The sequence below is a fragment of the Homo sapiens genome, chromosome 13 (assembly GCF_000001405.40).
Source record: "Homo sapiens chromosome 13, GRCh38.p14 Primary Assembly".
Taxonomy (NCBI): domain Eukaryota; kingdom Metazoa; phylum Chordata; class Mammalia; order Primates; family Hominidae; genus Homo; species Homo sapiens.
This window is the reverse complement of record NC_000013.11, coordinates 98,498,238-98,514,223: the sequence shown is the minus strand read 5'-3', so window position 1 is coordinate 98,514,223 and position 15,986 is coordinate 98,498,238. Positions and strand designations below refer to the sequence as shown.

At 44.3% G+C, this 15,986-nt stretch overlaps 1 protein-coding gene across 3 annotated transcripts in view, besides 7 other annotated features; it reads left to right on the top strand.

The window, feature by feature from the left end:
• STK24 (serine/threonine kinase 24) overlaps positions 1 to 15,986 on the top strand; it is a 131,923-nt gene that overhangs the window by 62,884 nt on the left and 53,053 nt on the right. The gene's annotated exons all lie outside the window — the stretch shown is intronic.
• Positions 1,347 to 1,396: an enhancer, noted in NCBI's record as "active region_7912". NCBI's record gives its function as "activates an Ori minimal core promoter by ATAC-STARR-seq in GM12878 lymphoblastoid cells {active_cell/tissue: GM12878}" and the evidence as "EXISTENCE:reporter gene assay evidence [ECO:0000049][PMID:35858748]".
• Positions 6,498 to 7,097: an enhancer, noted in NCBI's record as "NANOG-H3K27ac-H3K4me1 hESC enhancer chr13:99159381-99159980 (GRCh37/hg19 assembly coordinates)". NCBI's record gives its function as "activates a minimal SCP1, AML or CMV promoter by ChIP-STARR-seq in naive H9 embryonic stem cells {active_cell/tissue: H9 hESC(naive)}" and the evidence as "EXISTENCE:reporter gene assay evidence [ECO:0000049][PMID:30033119]".
• Positions 7,098 to 7,697: an enhancer, noted in NCBI's record as "H3K27ac-H3K4me1 hESC enhancer chr13:99158781-99159380 (GRCh37/hg19 assembly coordinates)". NCBI's record gives its function as "activates a minimal SCP1, AML or CMV promoter by ChIP-STARR-seq in naive and primed H9 embryonic stem cells {active_cell/tissue: H9 hESC(naive and primed)}" and the evidence as "EXISTENCE:reporter gene assay evidence [ECO:0000049][PMID:30033119]".
• Positions 7,698 to 8,297: an enhancer, noted in NCBI's record as "H3K27ac-H3K4me1 hESC enhancer chr13:99158181-99158780 (GRCh37/hg19 assembly coordinates)". NCBI's record gives its function as "activates a minimal SCP1, AML or CMV promoter by ChIP-STARR-seq in naive and primed H9 embryonic stem cells {active_cell/tissue: H9 hESC(naive and primed)}" and the evidence as "EXISTENCE:reporter gene assay evidence [ECO:0000049][PMID:30033119]".
• Positions 9,323 to 9,392: an enhancer, noted in NCBI's record as "active region_7911". NCBI's record gives its function as "activates an Ori minimal core promoter by ATAC-STARR-seq in GM12878 lymphoblastoid cells {active_cell/tissue: GM12878}" and the evidence as "EXISTENCE:reporter gene assay evidence [ECO:0000049][PMID:35858748]".
• Positions 9,723 to 9,882: an enhancer, noted in NCBI's record as "active region_7910". NCBI's record gives its function as "activates an Ori minimal core promoter by ATAC-STARR-seq in GM12878 lymphoblastoid cells {active_cell/tissue: GM12878}" and the evidence as "EXISTENCE:reporter gene assay evidence [ECO:0000049][PMID:35858748]".
• Positions 13,037 to 13,176: an enhancer, noted in NCBI's record as "active region_7909". NCBI's record gives its function as "activates an Ori minimal core promoter by ATAC-STARR-seq in GM12878 lymphoblastoid cells {active_cell/tissue: GM12878}" and the evidence as "EXISTENCE:reporter gene assay evidence [ECO:0000049][PMID:35858748]".

Sequence of the window (15,986 nt, the reverse complement as noted above, 5' to 3'; positions counted from 1 at the left end):
GCAGTCTTGGATGCTTCTCCCCCGCATAACTAATAACTGGCCTATTGACTTTCAGATGCACCCTAGTTTGGACAATAGAAAATAATCAGCCTACTTACTATGCCTATCTGCAGAAAAACACCGTGATTCTCAGCCTTGCCCATATTGTATGATAACTTCACATTGCAGAGAAGAAATACCAGTCTAGCTACATGATGATGAATGTATCCTGTTAGGACACCTGTGAATTTTATCTTTACTCACACCTTTCTTTAAGCTAGTTCATAGCAAATCATGCTCTTGTATTGGCCCTTGGCTTCAGGCATACTTAGGAATTCAGATGGGTTATTATGTTAGTTTCTGAAAGCATTTTAGTTCAGATATATGCTTGGTGTGGGTGAACTCTCCTATGCCTCAGAAATTCTCATCAAAGCACACAGTGTCTTTCTCATTCATGTCTTTGCTCCTTCAAAGGCAGAGTCCCAGCCGCGCTTTCATTGAGATGGTGAAAATGAGATACTATTTTAGTACATATGGAGAGATGATTTGCAGTTTATTTGAATTAGATAACAAATGAAATTGAAAGGGCCCAGAAGAAAGTTGAGACTCCACCATATGGAGAAACTCTTGTGCAGTCTGAAGGGCTTCTGTGATCTTAACAGAGAAGAGAACCGAGCCACCTAGATCTGGCACTGTGTACCTCTCTGTTCCTCCTGCCACTGCCCCATATGGACCTTTCCTCACTGAAGGCACAGGTGACAGTGTCTGCAGATGTTTCGGCTGCCACTACTTGGGGGTGTGGGTGGAGGCCAGGGATGCTTATCACGTCCACAGGATGGCTCCACACAGGGACTCACCCAGCCCGAATGTCCACAGTGCCACTGTTGAAAAACTGCTGCGTGGAATGAACCTTTTGTCCCAGAAAATAGGTTTAAGTAATGGTGTTTCTAGGGCTGACATTTGGGACTCTTGGAATATCCCAAAGGGCATTTTGGATGGAGGGTCTCGGAGCCCATGGCTGTGCCCACCATGATGTCCGTGGCAGGACCCAGTGCAGGCTTTGCCAGCATCATGAGAAGGGCGTGTCCATACTCGGGGCAGTGTGTCCACCCTGCGTGGGCTGGCCAGCCTCTGTTCTCGAGGCTGTGAATGCTCACACAGCGCCTGGGAAGGCGGATAACTCAGAGATGCTTTTCTGGGTTACTTTTGTTCTGAGGTAAGAGAGGGCAGCAAGTGGACCCCGATGGGCTGCAGAAGCCGGTTCGCAGCAGGGACTGATTACATAAGTGTTGGCAGTGACCCCGGTAAGTCTGGTGTTCCTTATAAACCCTGCTTTCCACAGTTGAGCAGAAGACACCACAGATGAGAGGGAGCCCCTCCCTCACTGAGTGGAGTCTTAATGGGACGTTTGTGACTCTCCCTTGGACACTTGTACTCTTTCTACAAAAGTTAATATTCCCTGAGACATTATTTACATCCGGAATGGGGCTGTGTGACTGGAGGTCCTCACCTGCCCATGTTTTTTGCATGTTTTGTAGCAAACTGATAATGACCAATGTCAGAATTATCTGGCTTTATATTTTGACCTTGTTCATTAGAGTAGTGTTAATGAAGGAGAAAGCAAGTTAGGGGCTGGTACCTTGCTTTCCCTTTTTAAAAAAAAAAAAAAAAAACTTACTTTGTGTGTGTTTAGGGTTTTTGTTTTGTTTTTGTTTCTCGGTAGACATGATGTGTATTTTTAGTGCTAAAGCAGGGCTCTTCCCAGTAGCCTCTTTGAGCTTTGGACTCCTTTCTAGCCAATAAAATGACCTGTTTCGCTCTAAGTCAATTGCTGCTCATTTTCTGGTTGCATTTCTTTCTCTCTGTTCTATTTATGGACCTCAGGTAAGAGTTGAGTTTTTCATATTTTGCAGTTCATGGCACCATCATCATCGACCTATGTAAGATCCTTTTCTGTTTTAATCTGTGTGTCTTCAATAGAGAAAACATGGTTTTGTGTATGGTGTATGTATGGGTTTGTTTTTCCCCATAACATTTTTAAAAATTTATGTACTGTAGGCTGGGCACAGTGGCTCACGCCTGTAATCCCAGCACTTTGTGAGGCTGAGGCGATTGGATCACTTGAGGTCAGAAGTTCGAAACCAGCCTGGCCAACATGGGGAAACCCTGTCTCTACTAAAAATACAAAAATAATTAGCCAGGCATGGTGGCACGCACCTGTAGTCACAGCTAATTGGGAGGCCGAGGCACGAGAATCGCTTGAACCTGGGAGGCTGAGATCACACCACTGCACTCCAGCCTGGGTGACACAGCGAGACTCTGTCTCAAAAAAAAAAAAAAAAATTACTGTAAAACTCACTCTTGGATGTATAGTCCTATGTGTTGTAACATATGTATAGATTCTTATAAGTACCACCACACATGGGACCAGAACAATGCCAACGTTCCAAAGAATTCCTGAACCATCCCCCGCCCATGGCAGTCACTGATCAGTCCTTAGCATTTTGGCTTTTCCGGAGCACCGTAGATGGAATCACACATCTGTTGTTAGTGGCTTTTGTTAGTGGCGTTTTTCAGTTATTGTCATGCCTGAGGAATCCTTCCGTGTTCATGCATGTGTCACTTGTTTGTTCCTTTTTACTGTTAAGTAGGGCACCAGGGTGTGTATAACCAGGTTTACCTATCGAAGGACATGTGGGTGTTTCCAGAATTTGGTGATTATGAACAGTGTTGCTATGAATATTGATGCACTTTTTTGGTATGAACATAAGTTTTTCATTTTTCTAGAGCAAATACTTATGAGTAGGATAGGTATTTAATTTCTATTTAATGTCTGTTTAATTTTCCAGAGTGCCTGTATAATTTTGCATCCCCACCAGCATTTGGGGTACTGTCAGTAATTTTCATGTTTGCCATTTTAGTAGGTGTGGAATGGTATTTCATTGTAGTTTTAATTTGCATTTCCCTAATGACTTATGATTTTTGAGTATCTTGTCCTAAGACGCTTACTATTTCCCGTCAGTACTCTAGAGTTTGGAGTAGGATATTCATTTTAGGTAAATGCTACCATGTGGGAATATGGGGCCGGGCACAGTGGCTCACCCTGTAATTCCAACACTTTGGAAAGCCGAGGTGGGAGGATCACTTGAGCCCAGGTGTTCGAGGCTGCAGTGAGCTATGATTGTGCCATTGTACCCCAGCCTGGGTAACAGAGTGAGACACTGTCTATCTCTTTTATTAGTAAGGAAAAAATACTACCGTGTGGTTGTTCGGAATAGCCTTACCAGCTAAATGCCTGGTTTAGCTGTGGGTTTTTGTTTCTGTGTTTAAGTAAAAAAATAAAAACCTTTACCGATCTACAATTCACCCACTTAAAATATACAATTCAAGAGTTTCTGGTATATCACAGAGCGGTGCAGCCATCACCACAATTTTAGAACATTTCATCCCCTCGAAAGATACTCTACCCATCATCATTCACTTCCCATTTCTTCCCAGATTCCCGAGTCTCCTTTCTGTCTCTATAGATTTGCGTATTCTGGACACCTCATATAAGTGTAATTATAGAACATGTGTCCTGTTGTGTCTGGTTTGTTTCACGCGGCATGTTTTCAAGGGCTCTGTTGCAGCATGTGTCAATAGCTCTTTTTATTGCTGAATAATGTTCCATTCTGTGGATAGACCACACTTTGTTATCTATTTATCAGTTGGTGGATATTTGGGTTTTTATTTTTTGGCTGTTGTGAATACTGTTCCCATGAACATTCGTGTACAAGTTTTTGTGTGGATATGTTTTCCTTTCTTTTGGATGTATTACTTGGGAGTGGGGTTATTGGGTCAAATGTGTTTTGGGAGCCCCCATCTGAATTGGGTTCCAGTATCAGAGTAGCTAGCGACCCTTCCCTAAGGGGAACTGAAAGGCAGCTGGATGTGGGTGATGACCGTGTGCCTTTCACAGGATGCTTCTTTTACCTGGTGGATGGGCTCACGCATAATGGTCTGAGCCCCGACTCGGGAAACTTGTTTATACTGACGGACACCCCTGTGGGTCTTGTCTGACTACCTGGCCATCATTCTGGTGCTGGGAGTCCAACCTTGTTTGCTCCCACACGTCCTGGGGTAATGTGGTTGGTTCTTCGGATGGAGGGTACAGAGTCCGTACACCATCACAACAGGAAGCAAGTTCAAACATATATTTTAGAAGATGCTTTTGAAAAATGGCTACATAATGATTGTACAGATATCTGAGGTACATGTGATATTTTGATATTACATATAATATGTCGTGGTCAAATCCAAGTTCAAAGACTTATTACTTACATATCCTGGGCAGGAGGCAGTCCTCTGTCCTGGGTTACACAAGGCAAGAATGAAGAGTCAGGCAGAGAGAGAGAGCGACAGAGAGAGTGTGCACAACTGGCAGTATACATTATATAAGAGGGAACAGGGCGTGGGGCTCTGTAAGTTCTCGGGCAGGCCTGAGTGTTCTGTTTAAAGGAAGCAGATGGAACATGGGGAGCTCAGTCTGCTGGGTGTAGGAGATGCCTCTAAGTTCTTATCTTGGCCAGCGAGCTGGGCCTTTTGGGTGTGGTCTAGAACTGGAGACCGTGTCAAGGGTGACTAAGCCCTGCTTCTGGTATGAGAAAGTTAAACTTGTATTCAAAATGGATGCCAAGGCAACATAAAATTTGAAGAGTTTACTGTAATATACAAATTTTATGTTTAACCTTTTGAGGAACTGGTTTTTTTTTTTGTTTTTGAGGAACTGTTGAGACTGTTTTCAGTAGTGGCTTATGTTCTCATGGTAGTGAATGAAGGTTTCAATTTCCCCTTGTTTGTTTTTTTAAAATTGTGTTAAGCAGTATCTCATGGTTTTCACATGCATTTCCCTCATGACTAATCATGGCTAATTGTGTTGAGCATGGTTTGTCTACGTTCTTGGCAACATTGATACTATAAAACTTTCTTTCACCAATCTCTTAGCTATAACAGTATTTTATGTTTATTTCCATTTCTATTAATCATAACTTTGAGCATCTATGTATGTTCTTAACCATTAGGATTATTCTGTTGAATTCATATCTCCTAGGAAGTTTTCTATAGTTTAATGTGTTTATTACATGTGATTATCAAATTCCCTTTCAATTTTCTAGTCAGGAAATAATTGTCTGATAATTAGGCTTATGAAGTATTGTGAAACTAAAAAAGGGTGCCCAAAACTATATGTTTTGGCCTGGTAGCCACATTACAAATTAATTCATTACAAATTATTTCTAGTCTGTGAACAGGAGCTCTTGTGAGTCTCACCAGCGCTAGTCACATTCCTCAAGCTTGACCATCCCTTTGAGAACTGATGAAACAGCTTTGAAATTGGCAAAGCTGAAGAATGGACTTCAAAGCAGAGAAGGTGTGAATTGTTTTAAGTGGGAGCTTCATGGGAATAAAATATGAGGCGTGGCCCTGAAGGTTAGTTTGTGGTATGTTACAAAGTTAACTCATTCTGATTTAAGACCACCTTTTCTGAGAGTTAGGGGAAAGTGCTTTTTCTCTCTGCCATAGCTCGTATGGCATGGAACCAGACACTGTGTACACAGACATGCCCCTGGCCCCTTTAAAATACCCCCTGTTCCTCCCACCCTCACTTTCCCGGACAATAGCAATAAGTTTACCAAGAAAGATCTCATCTTCTGTCCCAACAGAAATTCTAAGTAGCATTTCTGCTCTCCAGTGGGGCTTGTGGTGTAAGTTGCATTTAAATTGGCATTCTTTTCTGCTGACCCTGAAAGGCTAGTGGTTTACTTGTAGGCAAATACTCTTGCTGTTTATTAACATACATTCTTCTGTGAAATTTCCTACTATGTTTCTTGTCTCTTAGTGTTGGTTTTTGATACCACAGGTGTGTTCTCTGACTTTATCACACTAGTTTTAACTTTGAAGCGTCCTCTGTTGGGGAAAAAAATCCTTGATTTTAATGTAGTTAATCCATCAGTTTTTCACCTTATATGATTTCTGCTTTTGGGATCCTGTATACGAAATACATCAGCTTCTCATAGGTTACAAATATATTTATTTTTTTTCTTCTATTAGCTTTATAATTAGCCTTTCATATTTTAGTATTTGAAGTAGCAAGAAGCGGTGGGGAGCAGGAAGAATTCTGGGTAGCTGGGACCGTCATTGCAGGCTACGTGTTTCTTTATATTTTTGAGTTTATTGTAATGTCAAACACTTGTTATGCATTGGTGTTTGAATTCTCCTTTGGTACTTTCCCTGTTGCATTTTGGGCCATGTGGGTTTATGGGATAACACCACTTGAGCTTGACTTGGTGGAATAGAGGTTTTAGGGTTGGGGGAAGAGATCTGCAATGGGCTTTTGGGAAGTGTCATAAAAGAAGCTAGAGACAAGACCTAGTTAGAGGGGAGGCTGCCTTTACCATCACATTTCTGTTTGTCTCCCGCCTTCCTGACTCTGTGCTCTGGAGATCTGGAGACCTGGAGACCTGCCTCAGGATATCCCGTCCTGGCTGGGAATGAAGCCAGGGAGTGTGGTAGTCTAATTTTGGGCTCTGTTTCCTCATCTGCAGACACTGGGCATACTTGTCTTTTAAGTTATTTGCAGTCTGTAATTGATTTGGCTCAGCTGGCCCTAAGATACGGTATTCCTTGTGTAAAGTCAGAGAAATCAGAGCCAAAGATAATTAGAGCTGGAAAGGCCTTCAGAGGTGGCTAGCCCTTATCTTTCTTTCTCTAGGCTAGAAAACCATGGCCCAGAGAAGCTGAGTGATTTCCTTTTCTTCTACTATCAACACTAGGACAAATACTCAGATTCCAGGCAAGTGTGAAGCGTTGGCCCTGTGCCAGGAGCCCGCAGGCCTGTCTTGCTAATTTGCTCAGGCTTTCAAAGCTTTTGCAGCCCTTTGGCTGTTGAGCTGGGATTTAGGGCCAGAGTTTCCTCATTCCTGGTCTACCGTTAGCTTCCCTGCACCTGACGGTTGTCCTCTTAAGTACTTCTCCCCCATTTTCTTACCGGATTCCCTCTCTCCAGTGGTGTGTTCTCCTTCTACAGAGGGTATTTCAGATATTTATTCAATAGTTCAGCCATTTTACAAAGTTGAGGAGGGAGAATCGGGTGGAGCAGACACAGTGGCACTGCCTTGCTGGAGGCATCCTCGCTGGCTCTCCCGCCCAGCTGCACATTTACAGAGGCCTAGTGTCGGCCAGCACCGTCCTTTGCACTCAGGCCTCTGCTCACAGGTCAGCACGCCCTTTGCATGTGTCCAGTGAGGTTCCCCTGAAAGCCTGAGCAAATTAGCAAGACGGGCCTGCGGGCTCCTGGCCCAGGGTCACCGTTTCACACTTGCCTGGAATCTGAGAGTATTAGGTCACATCTTCAAAAGACTGTATTTGTCCTAGCATTGAATTCTTACTCACGGCCACCGTATTTATTGGGTAGTTCAGCAGGAGAAATTCTTGCCTAACACGTGTCCGTGGTTTTAGTGCATTTTTAGTGCTTCGCCGATGCTCACCTCTGTACTCATATGTATTAAATGATTGAATTTGAATTGGTGCCGGTAGCTGTGCCCCACTTTGACATAGATCCGGAAGCTTAGCCAGGGTCCACAAGTCTGTCCTTTGTGTTTGAGTGGGAAATTGCACTGTGTGATTGATAACGGAGGAGCTGCTTCGGCTACGGGAGACATTGCCCTGTGAGCTCGGCAGGGCAGTCCTTGTCCTCCCCTCCTGTGCTCGCATCAGCTGCTGCCAGGAGCCTCGTTTTGGTTTTGTGGTCCTGCACCTTCCTTCGTTAGCACTGCTGTGTTCCTCACCTGTGGATGTTCACGGTTGCCTATGAATCTGGGCGGTGATTCCATTTGTTCTCATTGCAGCCGTTCCAGTTATTAGGAATCCAGCTGTCTGAAAAGCTGTATCCTTCCTGACGACCTGTATTTTATTTCCTTGTCACCTTTGCATCCTAGCACAGGGTCCGTGAGAACGTTGCTCTTTTTGTCTGACAGTTCAGACCCGTCGGGCTCTAGAGAATTGACTGATGTGTTTGGAGTTAGTTCCTAGTCGTTTCTGGAGTGGTGACTGGTTTAGATTTTTGCCTTTTGAAAAGCTACTAGACGTAAAACTTAATTGGTGTTTTGGCGAGTCCTTTTGTCTGTGGCAGTTCATCTTTAGAGAAGTAAATTAATTTGTAGGTAAGCTTTTTCTCCTTTTTTGATTGGCTATCTAAAACATATATTTGAATCAAACTTTTAAAACAGAGATACAGAAAACTCTTCATGAAAAGATTTTTTTGTCTTCCTTTCTTTGTATGTTTGATATACAGATAACTGTTAACAGTATTCTGATTTCCATTATTCACATTTCTGTAGTGACAAGGATCAAGTATCTGCAGGCATTTCTTTGTCCCGGGAAAAGCAGATTTTTTCAAGGAAATGATGTGTTGATATATAATAGAACATACATAAATACTTTTGCTAGCTGTGCAGTTAGTTAGAAAGTGTTGATGTTTTGACATTGGGTGGCTGTTGGTCACTGCAGATGGAATTGCTGAAAGAAATTTACATAACCTGTTAAGAGACCAATCATTGTTGCACTAGATTAGGTACTCAAGTTAGTTTACAGAATTTTGATTATTTTTGGTTGGCTTGGTATGAGATTGGCTTTCGATTATATGCTTCAATTGGGTCTAATGACTCTTCCCTGTCATTGTAAATGGAATCAGTGGAGATAGGTCAATGACAAGGTTGATTATAGACCAGGGCTTACAGAAGCTAATCATCTGCAGTCTTCATTTACATACATGCTTCTGCTGTTGGCTTCCAGCCAAGGCTGGTGTAGTATAGTACATGAATTTTGGAGTCATTATTGATCATATATTTCCAACAAGTGTGATGAGGTGGAGTTGGCTTAAGTTGAAATGTTTAGTGGAAAACATTGGTTCGTTAAAAGTAGCAGTGGATCTACAGCTCTTTTTTGAGAATGAATTGCTATTATGTTTGCTGTCTACACTGAGGTGTGGCATGAAGCCTTTCTCTCGTCTCCTTTATACCTTGGTGGATCTGTGTTTCCGGACACTTTTCCTTTTGAAAGTTGAGATCCCGTTCAGAGGCTGACAGACTTGTCCCTAGAAGAAAGGGGGCATAAATATGCCAAATGCAAAACCACAATGATTTCTTTGATTACAGGGACCTTGGGGCCAGCTTGCGGTAAGAACTTGCCTTTAGAAGATCCTTTGGTTCCCATCAGTGTCTCCCTCTCCTCAAAGGGATGGCAGCCCAGTGGACAGTGGGCACATGACCCTGACATCGACAGACTCCCACGGAGGTAAGCTGCTCTGTCAGCGTCGCCCAGACAGACGTGCACCTTCCTCATCAGCCCGAACCTGCCTCCATCCACACCTTGTGCACATGTGGATGGAGTACTGGAGGCTGTTGTTTCTCTGCTTCCAGCCAAGGGTAGGGATCAGCGACCTCAGGTGAAAAATAGCCCTTCCTCTCCTGGGCTTAGAAATGAATGGAGAGAAAGCAAGCTCTAGCAGCTTCCTCCTGGTTGAGGACAGGGAGTTCCCCTGAGATAGTGCTGTGTAGATAGTCACCGACGACTCCACAGCTTTGTGTCTGCCCCTCACCACACAGTAGGCTTCATTCTCACCATGAACCACTGTTGTCATTTGGGGACAAGTTGAAAGAGTCTATTTCCCTTCTTGCATTAAAGGAGAAACTGTCAGCGGGATTGCTGTTAACCACTGTGGTGGTCACCACGACCTGAGTCTCGTGCTAGTGTTTGAGAGACTAAGCTCTGACTTTTCTAGAAGGTATTATTCCAGATCCTGACCCAGGGAAGAGGCATGGTGGACCAGAAATCTGCATTTTCCCAGAGCAAAGCTACAGACTGGAAAATGGATTGCAACCTTGCACAGGCTTGACTGTTGTTGACAGAAGCTCTACTTTCTCCTGCTCTGTTCTCTTATTATTAAAGGGATGGATATATCAGAACAAGTGTGTGTTTGTTGTTTTAAAGTTTGTTTTTTTTTTGTCTTCAGTTAAGTTAGGCTGCAGGGTTGAGAGAAGAGAAATTTTCATTTGTGTGCTTGGGAAAATCAACTAGGAATGAACTTTCACTTTTACTGTTTAAAAGTAAAAATATCTTTGGAAGCTGAGGAATGGCTGCTGGGAGAAGTCGATTTTAACCCAAATGTGATCTTTCTGTCTTCTCCATAGACTTCACATCTCCCTCTGGGACAGTAATGAGGAGAGAGTGTTTGGCCATCGCAGGTGTAGGAGGTGGAGGCAGATTCTGCGTGGGTGGCTTCTGTCAACAGACGCTGGACTGTGCAGGGCAGCTGCAGTGGTTCTGGCTGGTTGCTGTGGTCAGTGGGAGTCGTGGCATGTTCCTGGGGGCAGTCACATCTCTGAACATTTCCTTTATGACAGTTAGTGCAGTTTTAAAAAAGGAAAAATCTTCAATGTTAACCTTTTTTCTGTCTCTTATTTCTACCCTTTAAGATTATCTTTATGACTTCTAAGGATATTTTAAGCTCACAGTCACACTTGGAAGCAGTGCCCTTGTAAGGCTCTGCCTAGTGTGGCTGTATTAGAAAGGTCATTCCTGGTTCTTACATGTGCTTCTCCTTTCCACGTCTCCCACTGGCGTGCTGACTTTCCAAGGGGAACGTGAAGCTGTCCGCAGTCCTTGCCCTTGCCCTTTCTTTTGGAGACTGTGTGAATGAGCAGCAGCCACTTTAATGTGAGGCAGCCATATAAACAATGAACTTTCACTTGCTGCCAGGAGGTCATAAACTCAAGGTCACCAAATGAATTCTAGCTTCAGCTCTTGGTTTAGTAATGTACCAAGTTTGGTATTACTTTTTGTTTGTTTTAATCAGGTTTCTGCCCTCATCTTCTATTTGGGAAATTAAAACTGGTCTGTTGGCATGGCTGGTGACTGAGCGGCAGGCACATTCTTAGTCTCTGACTTTCTGCAGCCATCTTTGAGTGCATATAAGTGTTGGGTAACAGTCTACTGAATGTGCTACAAGTGTGCGGAGTTGTGTTCATCTTTAACTTGTTTTTTTTAAAAAACACTCTCTTGGTAAATTGGGATCTCCTGTTGAAAACTGTATTTGTTTGGCAGTTGAGTTTATGCCTGGAGCCCCTAGAGCACATTTAACTGGTTGGTGGTCAGTTGTACCATACTGAAAAAAAAAAAAAAAAACACATGGAAAGTATTTCTAATATATTCATTATGGGATGTGTGAGCCCTTAATTACCTGAAAATCTGAATTGTCTTTCCTCACAGGTAGTAGTCCTCTCAGGTGTTTCCTTTTTAAAATTGTAAATGGAATTTCACATATCCAAAGAAATTAGGATTCCCAGTGCTGTCTTCTCCCTCTAGTAGCATATTTTGTGTCTTAGCTTTCTGTTGTTATAACAGAAAGACTGGGTAGTTACCATAGACTGGGTGATTTATAAGGAAATGTATTTTTCACAGTTCTGGAGGCTGAAAAGGCCAAGAACATGGTACTGGCATCTGGCGAGGGCTTTCTTGCTGTGTCATGACGTGGTGGGAAGAGCAAGCAAGCTCGTGCGAAGGAGAAAGGCACCAGGGACAGGACTTGCTGTATAACGACCCACTCTCACGATAACAAACCTGTTCCTGAAGTCACCACATTAATACATTCATGAGGGCTCCGTCCTTATGACCCAAGTACCTCTTATAAGGCCCCACCTCCTAACCCTGTGGCATTGGAGATTAAGTTTCCAACCCATGAATTTTGGGGGACACATTCAAATCGTAGCATTATGACTGTGGAAGTCATTTTGTTTCTAAAGGTCTTTGTTCCCACTTGATCCTAAGACCCTGTTTCTAGGGCTTTAAGACCTAGAGTAAGGTGTCAGTCTTTTCCTCCTGCCCCATCTTTTATCAACTCATTGATTCCTATGTTTACTGGACCCAGCTGCTCTGCTTCGGGCCAGGAACGCAGATAGGAACATAGCAGATGTGGCCCTGCACCCAGAACTTCTTTGGTGTAGTGAGGGAGAGAGACAAATAACCAGGCAGATGTCACCCTGAGTAAGTGCTTGGATGATCAGGGCAGGGTTGTCCTTTGGGAACACAGGACAGGGAACCATTCAGGACAAGAGGCCAAGAGGCCAGGGTTGGGGCAGAGTAAGACGGGGCAATAGCTTCCTGGATTAGTTTTTAGAGTTTTCTGCTGGCTTAGGGTTGGAGAGCTGGGGCAGCAGCTTAAAGAGGGGACCCTCCAATGGCATAGGGGACTCTGCAAGAACCTCCGGCAGCAGCACTCTGGGTCAGAGGGCGAGGAATTGGGGGAAATTTAAGAAGGAGATATTAGGAAAACTTCTTAATAAAGGCACCAAACTGATAGGGCAACAGGGGAAAGCCAAATGGGGACCTTGGGCCGTGTCGGAGAGCAGACAGGGCTAGGGGAGCAGCTTATCGTGCTTATCTCACCGTAGAGATGATACATGAGGATTGGCCAGTGTCAGATAACTGACTTTATTTTGTAAAATTTTTTATTGTTTTTAAATTTTTTACTTAAGCTTTATTTTTAATTTTTGTGGGTACACAGTAGGTGTATATATTTATGGGATACATGAGCTGTTTTGATACAGATAACCTATCTTGAATTGTATTCTGCCAATCGATTCTATCATGTACCTAATTTTTGTAGTTTATTATTCAGATAAGGTGGTTTTCTGCTCTTAAACTGGGGGGGCTGGGGAAATAAGAATTTTCACTTGAAAAATTCATGTTCTAAAACTTTGACATAGGTAGGTTGCAGCCTCCTCAGTTCCTGGGGCTCTCTTCTGGAGTCTCTCTCGCTGCCCCTGCCCTCCTGGCCCCCGCCCCACCCCTGGCTAGCCGAGGAAGAGGAGGATTGGGCCTTGCACAGTTGCACAGTGCCTGTCTGGAGCACACCACAGCTCTGTGAGGAGGGAGTGTGCAGGTTCAGGGCGATTCCCCTCCTGGGGTTTCTCAGCTCCACAGGCCACTTCTGTGACTCCGCGGTGAGGCTGTGCAAGCGAACCCGACTTCAGTTCCTGAAAACTGAATTGTTTTTAGTCACTTTGCTTAATTATAGACTAAAGAGTTTGAAACTACACATAAGAGGTGTAAATAATGTGATATAAATATTGTTGGAACCCTCTGTTGTGGTTTCCCTTTTTTTCCCCCTTATATTCTCATTTCATTTCAAAGTTTTAAACAGTAACTTGAATGTGTATTGGCCAGTGTGACATGGACGCGCATGTTTTACTCATCAGATGTAGTAAGAAAAGATGTGGCTACTTAAGAACATTGAGGTGTGTGACTTTAAAAGTCTAGGTGTGTCATTAAAAAGTGTGAGCATCCCAGTGTTCTCCTGGGTCTCTGGAATCATGAAATTTGCCACTAACATCACTTACACTGTATTTTATTAAGTTGGGCCTACCCAGCACTTGCCTGTGTGCTAAATCTAATTATTGTCATAGTTGGGCTTGTGGACGGGTTGGGGGAGGATGGGAGGGGAAGGAAGGGGCGAGGTGTGGGAGGAGGCATGGCAGAAGGGTCTCAGACTGACTGGCGAGCCGATGGTCACGGGAGTGGTGGGGGGTGGGGGTGGGAAGGTTTGACCTAAGGTAGCGTTTCCATAGGAGTCCCATTCTTTGAGATGTTAGTAGGTGCCACCTGGTCTCATGAGTTTGGACGCATCAGGTTTAGCAGGTTTCTGTTACAGTATTCTCAGAGCTTTTGGGACTCTCTAAGGGAGGTTTAATATGCAGCATTTCCTGACAGTATTTAATTGTGGGACACCCCTCCCCTCTCTGAATGGTAAATTTCAATTCCATATCAAGACATGGCAGAGCCTTCTTAAATAGCTTCTCCAGCCAACACACTTGGGAAGATGAGGCCTTAGGAAACGTGGTGAAGAACTAAGTCCAGAGATGCTAAGTGCAGTCAGTAATAGCTTTCTGTGGGCCTCCTGCTCATTTGCTGTGGTTGAAATGCATTTCTTAAAATGTTTGTTTTTAAAACTAGATGAAGTGACAAAGGACCATGAAGCATTAAATAAAAGGCAATTCCTGAAATAGCATATTAATGTTTTAAATGGTTTTGTTTTCCAGTAAATAGCTCTCTGAGTGATGCAGTGGGATTTGAGAGAAAAGAAGCTGCAAGGTATTTGTGAATGTCCTGTTCCTTAGGAAACACAAAGTAACACTAGCACGCACATCACAGGAGCTGAACCCTGCAGTAGGTTAAAATCTTCAGCAACAGATTGAGAGATTGAGGGGATTAAAGGGTTCTGATTAACACTGTGTTATCCTGAAATCTTTTTGTCTCAATTTTTCGTGTTCTCTGCCTCAGGTGGGTATGGCTCACGCTCCTGCATTTAGTCCTTTCAGTTAAGAAGTCAGTCACCGTTGGGAGTGTGGAATGCAGCTGTGGGCAGGCTAGTGACCTCTGCCCTCAGCTTTGGGCAGCAAGACCTTGTCTTTGCTGATCAGGGCTTCCAGTGCTTCCGCTGGTCCTTCCTTACCTCGGCTACTGATCACTGCTCCCTGCTTACTCTTGGAACACTCTTCTAGTCCAAGCCTGGGTTTCCAGTCTCTGCACCTGGCCTGCCCCCTCTCCTTCTCAGATCCACACAGGGAAGCGATGACGCACCCCACCCCTGAAATGCCCCATGGAAACATGACATTCCACCTGCCCCATCAGTGAGTTCTTTCAGCTGATGAGCCAGGACTCAGTGAATTAGTCAGAAGTTACCTTTTCCAAGGGATTGATGAGAGGGTGCTTCTTTCCATACGCAATCACTCCAAGTGGGAACACACCAGGAGGGTGTGAAAATGCAGGTGCCGCATCCCCACCCGACTGACCTGATTTAAATTCCCAAGGTGCGGGATTCCCTCTGCCGTGCGTCTGGGAAATGTGTTCATGCCTTGCAAGTGTGAATGTGTGGAGAACATTAGGCCCTTACTTGAAGCTGGTTTTTTTTTTTGAGATAGAGTCTTGCTTTGTTGCCCAGGTTGGAGTGCAGTGGTAAAATCTCGGCTCCCTGCAACGTCCGCCTCCTGGGTTCAAGTGATTCTGCTGCCCCAGCCTCCCGAGTAGCTGGGATTGCACCACTATGCTGGCTAATTTTTGTATTTTTAGTAAAGACAGGGATTCGCCATGTTGGCCAGGCTGGTCTCAAGCGCCTGACCTCAAGTGATCCACCCGCTTCAGCCTCCCAAAGTGCTGATTATAGGCATGAGCCACCGTGCCTGCCTGAAGCTGTTTTCAAAGGAACCGTTGAGGATGGAATCATGAATGGTTTCTTGGAGACAGAAAATCTGGAGACAGAGTTACCAGAACATTTTTCCCCAGTGGCGGTCTGGGATGCCTCAGCCTGGCTCTGTCCTGTTTTCCCTTCCCTTTCTGTCCCACTGGCTCCTGCTGTGTCTGCCATGGGTCTGCAGACAGGAGGACATGGGCAGGTAATGCCTCCTGGATTCTTGTGCAGGGTGTACAGTGGGGAGACGGCAGGGGAGGAGGGACAAAGAAACCATTCTCTCATGTCCATCTAACCTGATAGCCAGGTGTTCAGTTCCAGGCCTTGGGCAGCCAGGTCCAGCCCTAGAGGTCCTCACACACCACTCTTTCACTTGCAGAGAAGACTCACCAGAATTTAGGGGCTCATCCCAAGTTACAGGATCCCATTCTTTCCCAACCAATGCCCTCATTTTACCAGCAGACACCCCATGAGTCTGGGAGGTCAACTTGTAACTTGTCATTCAACCAATCACAGGATGAGGTCCTGGCTTTGCTTTTCAGCAATCTCAGCCCAGTGACTGTAGGAGGAGAGACTTTCCCTCCAGCCACACCTAGCTGCTCTTAGATGATTTGATGCAGTGCTTGAGCTGAGCATTTGAATTCCTTAGTTCATCCTAGTCTTTCACCACTTTGTCCAGTGACATTAGGAGCAACCAACCAACATCATATTCTCAGTTTTTCAAAGA